This window comes from Homo sapiens, chromosome 4, assembly GCF_000001405.40.
Source record: "Homo sapiens chromosome 4, GRCh38.p14 Primary Assembly".
Classification (NCBI taxonomy): Eukaryota; Metazoa; Chordata; class Mammalia; order Primates; family Hominidae; genus Homo; species Homo sapiens.
Window position 1 is genome coordinate 131,208,155 of NC_000004.12, and position 8,404 is coordinate 131,216,558.

At 34.2% G+C, this 8,404-nt stretch overlaps 1 annotated feature.

The window, feature by feature from the left end:
* Positions 881–1,479: an enhancer, noted in NCBI's record as "NANOG-H3K27ac-H3K4me1 hESC enhancer chr4:132130190-132130788 (GRCh37/hg19 assembly coordinates)". NCBI's record gives its function as "activates a minimal SCP1, AML or CMV promoter by ChIP-STARR-seq in naive H9 embryonic stem cells {active_cell/tissue: H9 hESC(naive)}" and the evidence as "EXISTENCE:reporter gene assay evidence [ECO:0000049][PMID:30033119]".

The window sequence follows — 8,404 nt, forward strand, 5'->3', positions numbered from 1 at the left end:
CTTTAGCTTCTTTCAAAAATTTGGACCAATAATGATATTTTACAACTTAAGTTCTTCTCACAAACCCTCCTCTTCCTGAAATACTCTCTTTACTACCCAGTGCCTACCTGATTTCTAGTTTTCAATTTTGTAAATGACATTTTCTCAGGCAGGCTATTTTTGTCTCCTTAATCTAAATATGAATTTCTATGTATAGTCATTTTTGTTTAAATATATTTTGCTTAGGGAGAACTGTCATAATATGTGATATTATATTACATATAAAATATTGTTAGTGTATTTCATAGAATTATATATATATCAATAGACTTGAAAATTAAAAAAATACAATAGCTTTTTTCCACAAAACCTACTTTGTGAAACTTAGCACATTATTAACATTCGATATATTTTGGCAGCATGGACAGAACAATAATCGAATGTATAAATTTGAAAAGGAATTACCTGGATAATATCCTGCAGAGTGTTTTCCAACATGGTTCCATTCTCCCCGTCACTTTCAGGTACACCAATCAGACGTAGATTTGGTCTTTTCTCATAGTCCCATATTTCTTGGAGGCTTTGCTCACTTCTTTTTATTCTTTTTTCTCTAAACTTCCCTTCTCGCTTCATTTCATTCACTTCATCTTCCATCGCTGATACCCTTTCTTCCAGTTGATCGCATCGGCTCCTGAGGCTTCTGCATTCTTCACGTAGTTCTCGAGCCTTGGTTTTTAGCTCCATCAGCTCCTTTAGGCACTTCTCTGTATTGATTATTCTAGTTATACATTCTTCTAAATTTTTTTCAAAGTTTTCAACTTCTTTGCCTTTGGTTTGAATTTCCTCCAGTAGCTCGGAGTAATTTGATCGCCTGAAGCCTTCTTCTCTCAGCTCGTCAAAGTCATTCTCCCTCCAGGTTTGTTCCATTGCTGGTGAGGAACTGCGTTCCTCTGGAGGAGGAGAGGCGCTCTGCTTTTTAGAGTTTCCAGTTTTTCTGCTCTGTTTTTTCCCCATCTTTGTGGTTTTATCTACTTTTGGTCTTTGATGATGGTGATGTACAGATAGGTTTTTGGTGTGGATGTCCTTTCTGTTTGTTAGTTTTCCTTCTAACAGAGAGGACCCTCAGCTGCAGGTCTGTTGGAGTACCCGGCCATGTGAAGTGTCAGTCTGCCCCTGCTGGGGGGTGCCTCCCAGTTAGGCTGCTCGGGGGTCACGGGTCAGGGACCCACTTGAGGAGGCAGTCTGCCCGTTCTCAGATCTCCAGCTGCCTGCTGGGAGAACCACTGCTTTCTTCAAAGCTGTCAGACAGGGACATTTAAGTCTGCAGAGGTTACTGCTGTCTTTTTGTTTGTCTGTGCCCTGCCCCCAGAGGTGGAGCCTACAGAGGCAGGCAGGCCTCCTTGAGCTGTGGTGGGCTCCACCCAGTTGGAGCTTCCTGGCTGCTTTGTTTACCTAAGCAAGCCTGGGCAATGGCGGGGGCCCCTCCCCCAGCCTCGCTGCCGCCTTGCAGTTTGATCTCAGACTGCTGTGCTAGCAATCAGCGAGACTCCGTGGGCGTAGGACCCTCCGAGCCAGGTGCCGGATATAATCTCCTGGTGCCGCCGTTTTTTAAGGCCCTCGGAAAAGCACAGTATTCGGGTGGGAGTGACCAGGTGATTTTCCAGGTGCCGTCTGTCACCCCTTTCTTTGACTAGGAAAAGGAATGCCCTGATCCCTTGACATGAACAGACACTTCTCAAAAGAAGACATTTATGCAGCCAAAAAACACATGAAAAAATGCTCACCATCACTGGCCATCAGAGAAATGCAAATCAAAACCACAATGAGATATCATCTCACACCAGTTAGAATGACAATCATTAAAAAGTCAGGAAACAACAGGTGCTGGAGAGGATGTGGAGAAATAGGAACACTTTTACACTGTTGGTGGGACTGTAAACTAGTTCAACCATTGTGGAAGTCAGTGTGGTGATTCCTCAGGGATCTAGAACTAGAAATACCATTTGACCCAGCCATCCCATTACTGGGTATATACCCAAAGGACTATAAATCATGCTGCTATAAAGACACATGCACACGTATGTTTATTGCGGCATTATTCACAATAGCAAAGACTTGGAACCAACCCAAATGTCCAACAATGATAGACTGGATTAAGAAAATGTGGCACATATACACCATGGAATACTCTGCAGCCATAAAAAACGATGAGTTCATGTCCTTTGTAGGGACATGGATGAAAATGGATATCATCATTCTCAGTAAACTATCGCAAGAACAAAAAACCAAACACTGCATATTCTCACTCATAGGTGGGAACTGAACAATGAGAACACATGGACACAGGAAGGGGAACATGACATTCTGGGGACTGTTGTGGGGTGGGGGGAGGGGGGAGGGATAGCACTGGGAGATATAACTAAAGCTAGATGACGAGTTAGTGGGTACAGCGCTCCAGCATGGCACGTGTATACATATGCAACTAACCTGCACATTGTGCACATGTACCCTAAAACTTAAAGTATAATAATAATAATAAATAAAAGAAAAGGAATTACCTAGAATCAAGGGGAAAATTATAATTAATTGTAAATGATCACACAAAATATAATAAAATTAGATATTAGATAAGTTAAGCACTTCAATATATAAAGCATGATAAAAATGAAAAAAAACGAAAAGACAAAAACATAGTAGGTATATAAAAGAAGGAAGGTTTGAATTTATGCATCCGAGAGACTACATGGTTAAGACTTGAGGGACTCACAATATACCAGGGAAAACTGATGAAAATGTAAAACCTTGGAAACCTAATATAATGAATTTATTTAAAATCAAGACTAAAGAAATTTCCTAATAGACAGAAAGATAAAATTGTACATATATCTACAATTGTAGGAATAAATAACAATAACAATAATCATATTGGTGATATACTTTTACCTTCATTAGAAGATTCCAGAAGGAAGTAGAGTTTGAAAAACAATAGAGCAAAAAACAATGCTTTTGTTTTCAGACTAAATAGAAAAATTCCAATAATTATGATCTTATAATAATATAATACAATAAAATAAGTGATAGTAGGAAAATATTTTTAAAAACTTACCTTTTATGCTTGAATCAAAATGGTATACAAGCTATACAATGATATATTACCTACATAGAAATCATAAGAACATTTGTAGTCAACAACACACCACTGGGTATTGAATAAAACTGCTGTCATGAAAAAAAATCTAATAAAGAAGTATACATGATCATTTTAATATGTGAGTGTATTTGTGTGTGTATGTGTAATTGTGTTGCAAATTTTAAATAATACATATTATTTATAAATGTTTACAGCACTTATGACTTGGAATTAGGATAAGAGGTAATTTTTTCTTTTCAATTGTATTTCAATCACATTTTATAAGCATTTTTTAAAATAAGCATGTTTCACATTTTTAATCTTAAAAGCATACAACTGTTTTCATTTTTTTAATAAATAGCAAAACAGTGAGGTTCATGCATATTCTTAAAAAGACATTTCCCAAATGAAGTCAATTTGCTTTATCTAGACAACCCTAAAATCAGCTGTCAACAAAACCAAAGATAAAACTTTAAATTATTACGCTTATTTGCATTGAGTCTGATAATAAATATTGTATGTTTACATGGAGAACAAAACAATATTAAAATAAAAATTAATGTCTCTTAATGATATAAAGAGAATAAATTATTCAATGTTGAAAAACCTCTACATTCAAAATATCCACATGGAGCAGAAACCTTAAGTTTTCTTTTTATTATACTCATTAATTTTTTAATTAAAAATAATAAAAAATCCTACAACCACTGAGACAACACTATTTACTATTTTTAGATTATTATAGTCTTGTAAAGATCATTTGCTTTTATAGTATTTTTGGAAAGACTTTTAAATGCAGTATCAAAAAGCCTTGTTTTGAAATATTTACTTCATCATAGCTTTGAAATAAGATGTTTTTACATGACAAAAATCTTTCAATTTGCTATGCAAAAGATTTTCAGATTTTATTCTTCAATATATTTGTATGTGGGTGTGAGTGTGTCATATGAATGTACTTTTAAATATATTTCAAGAATTCTGGTTTTCTATGTAGAAGGACATTTGAAAATTCTTTAGGGTCTTCTGAAGCCCCCCACCCCAGTGTAGCTGACCCATGACCAGTTGAAAATTAGAGAAATTCTACCACGTAACAGACTTAGATCACAAGTGTATTAAACAATAATAAAATGAAAAATGGGTATTTTTCACTTCCAAAACTAAGATTAATCAGTAGTAGGTTTAAGTTATCCCTTCTACTCAGCAGTATCTAAAGTTAGTGAGGTCTCATAATTATTAATTCTAAGAAATCATTCCATTGACAATTCGCCTAATACTTCTGTTAGTATTTCTCTTTAAAATGTTTGAGTTCTTTAATAAGACGTCCTTTGCACTTAGTAATAATTTGACCTGGGGCTTCAGTGACCTATATAGCCTTTTAGGTAGTGGCTTTACTTCAATTATTCTGTGAAAGAATTGGACATCTCTCCAGGTAATCAAAAATGTATAAGCAGACCATACATTGATATATTTCTTAAAAATAAGAATTAGCAGCTTTTACCTACTTCTACAATCTTATCCTCTTTCTAAGGACTGGATTCTTCCAAAGCTGCTAGCAACATCCAGGGAATAAAATAATTTTTGAACATTTCTTTATCCTTATACTCCCTCTTATACATTTATCCAGACCCCTTGGGTATAATGCCATATACTTCAAAATCCATTGCTGAGATTTATTCCCCAGAATTTGCCTCAAAACTTTTGCCACGTTATACCAAATATGAATAGGAAGCTGCATCCTGGCCGAAAGAAATTATTGTTCATGGCGCACATCTGAGCTACTACCGTCAATCAGATTGCCAAATCAACTCTCTAAATCAAAGATCTTGCCAGTATTAAGCTTTACTAATAATTTTAATGATATAAGCAACTAAGTAGCATAGGTAAAGCACAGCCAGACCTGGGATATCCTGTCTGATTCTTTAGGTACTCACTTCTCATATAAGACACATGTTCTCTGTCACAGAGTAAGAGTTACAGATTCTAGATAAGGTTTTGGGCCATCTCATATGGTGATCATCTATGTTAGAAAACCGCCATTTTATAACAAGACTGTTTCAGTGCTTGTGTCACATTTTCCAGAGACCCATGTGTCCTAAACCTACACGTTGTGAACTGTTTCTGTTAGTACTATTAAACCAGGGAAATCCTACTATGAGATGTGCATAGATAAAAACTTTCTAACTAGCTAATATAATTACTGTAGCCTATGTATCTGGTTATTCAATTATAAGCAGGATTAGACTGGGTCAGCTGCTTTCTCTCCCGAGGAGGTATTGCCTTAAAAGTCATGATAAAAGCTGGCCGCGGTGACTCACGCCTGTAATCTCAGCACTTTGGGAGGCCAAGGCAGGCGGATCACGAGGTCAGGAGATCGAGGTTATCCTGGCTAACATGGTGAAGCTCCATCTCTACTAAAAATACAAAAGATTAGCCGGGCATGGTGGCCCCTTTAGTCTCAGCTACTCGGGAGGCTGAGGCAGGAGAATCGCTTGAACCCGGGAAGGGGAGGTTGGAGTGAGCCGAGATGGCGCCACTGCACTCTAGCCTGGGCGACAGAGTGAGAGTCCACCTCAAAAAAAAAAAAACAAAAAACAAAAAACAACATGATAAAAATGGATAACAGCTTTGCTTCTTCACATTTATTCTCCAATGGCTGAGCAAGCATGTCTAGTTTTAGGGTGAAATATTTGCAGCACACTTATTCACACATCTATCTAGCTTTGACCTTCTCCAAAAATCTTTACCAATTAAAAAGGTAATATTTTGGTTTCTATCTAACTGACTCTTTAAGCTGTCTTTATAATATTTTTTCACAACTTTTCCAGTTCTGTATATCTAAAAGAAAACTCATTTTCACCTCAAAGAAAATCCTTCCACTCTTATCTGTTTGAACTGTCTATTGCTTTTCATTATAATTGTTTTCTAGCCACTCAAGTTTGAAATTATACAATTATGAATTATACTTTATGAATATATAGAATCAAATTATAATAAACCTCTGAGTTTAACTGGCAAGTATTTTCAAAGATTTTCATAATTTCAAAAGGCTTCACTATTTTTACTTCTCTTCTACTCTCTTTGTCTGGAGGATGTTATTCCCTGACAATGCAGTTCAACTGTTACATATTATTGACATGTTCATATGATGGTTGATTGTTTTTGAATATAAATTAATTTTTATTCATATTTGCTATATGTGGGTCAATTTATTTGCTTTTCTAGGAAGTATAGACATTTAGTATACAGTGTGCTGAAATTAATGTCATTCGGCTTTCAGGCTTCATTTGGTACCATAGCTAATTTAATGTTTTATCTTCTTCCAGTGAGAATCTGAGGTTTTCTAATTTCAGTTAGATACTATTGTAATTGAAATACATAACTCATATTTAAATGTTAATAAGGTGAAGTTTCTAGTGTTCATATTTTAACAGTTTTTTTTTGTTTTTCTTTTTGAGACAGAGTCCTGCTCTGTCACCAAGGTTGAAGTGAAGTGATCCAACTGTGGCTCACTGCAGCCTCGAACTCCGGAGCTCAAGGGAGGCTCCCACCTCAGCTTCCTAAGCAGCTAGGACATAGGTGTGCACTACCACACCTGGCTAATTTTATATATTTATATATATATATTTATATTATATTATATAATTTAGGTATATATAAATATATTTTATATAATGTGTTATATATGATATATAAATATACACATATATTTACACATAAATACACACATGTACACACATGTCTATACACATATGTGTTTATACATGTGTATATACACATATGTATCAACATATGTGTATATACACACATATATAAATATATATGCACACACATATGTGTATATATACATGTGTGTATATATTTTTAATATTAGAATACATTCAAATATTAAAAATTATAATTTTCTGCAATTTAATTTTATTTGCCCTAAATGTTGTGGCCTATGCTATGCTTACTGGCTAACAACTAATTTCAAAATTCTTAAATAATAGAGTATTTCCGTAAAAAGAGTATTGCCCCATAAAAATGTCCAAGTCGACATCCAAAATACACATTTTTTGTTATGTTAACATTTGTTTGGTACCTATTTTGTTAAATTAGGTTAAACAAAACAGACAAGAACTTCAATTAAGAGAGATTTCCTCTGTAACCATCACTCCTAACAGATATTATACACCTGCAGTGTATCTGTAAAAATATCGTGTAAGAGAAAGTTGTTGAATAGACTAGGCCTACTGAGGCCAAATCAAAGAAGGGCACTTCTAAAGAAACATAATGAATGCCATCTTATGGTTTGTCTTGCCTAAGTTTCTGATAGTTATTTTTTAACTACAGATTGCTTATTGATTACCTTTTTAAATAATTCCCCAATAATTATTCTAGACTTTATTTTTAAAAGCAGTTTTAGGTTCATAACAATATTGAACACAAGGTACAGGGATTTTCCCCAAACCGTTTGTCCTTACATATGCATAGCCTCCCCTCTATGACAGATTTAAAAAGCCTCTTTTTTTCTTAATGTTATTGTAAATTCATATACTCAGGAATTAGAAACTCAGTGTATTAGAGTGTTTTTGTTTGTTTGTATTTTTAAAATCTTAGTCCTTTAGTGATGTCCTGGACTGAAAGAATTTATTTGCAAGACATCTCTTGCAGAATGTCATATTTTTGAAATTAGAGAACATAATTAAATAATAAAGAAAGTAAATGTTTATGATTTTTTCATTAGCAACAATATTAAAATAATAATTTATTCTAGAAAATAATTATATTGGCAACTGGCAATATGTACCAAGAAAATATCAATAATCTATGCTTTTTAACAGTTATTTAGCATTTAAATTGTATTCCGTGTAAGAAACATTCAATTTTATATAAGCTTTTATAGTTCTAAATACTAAAATTGCTGGCCACATGTAACACAATTGATGTTTCTTAAAATAAAATGTGCACTTTCTATTACTGATAGAATAAACAAAATTATTTTTGAGTAATTGTCTCTTTAATCAAATTTTATTGAAGGAATACTATTTCAGGAACTTTATTTAGTTTTGCAAGTATACTAATAATATTGAAACTAAATCCTTGTCATAAAAATTATAGTCCAGGGTGAAGCAAGACCTTAAAACAAAAAAAAAACACATAATTTTTAAAAATTAATTTTGTATTATACTTTAAGTTCTGAGATACTGTACAGAACATACAGGCTTGTTACATAGGTATACACGTACCATGGTGGTTTGCTGCACCCATCAACCCATCATCTACATTAGGTATTTCTCCTAATGCTATCCCTCC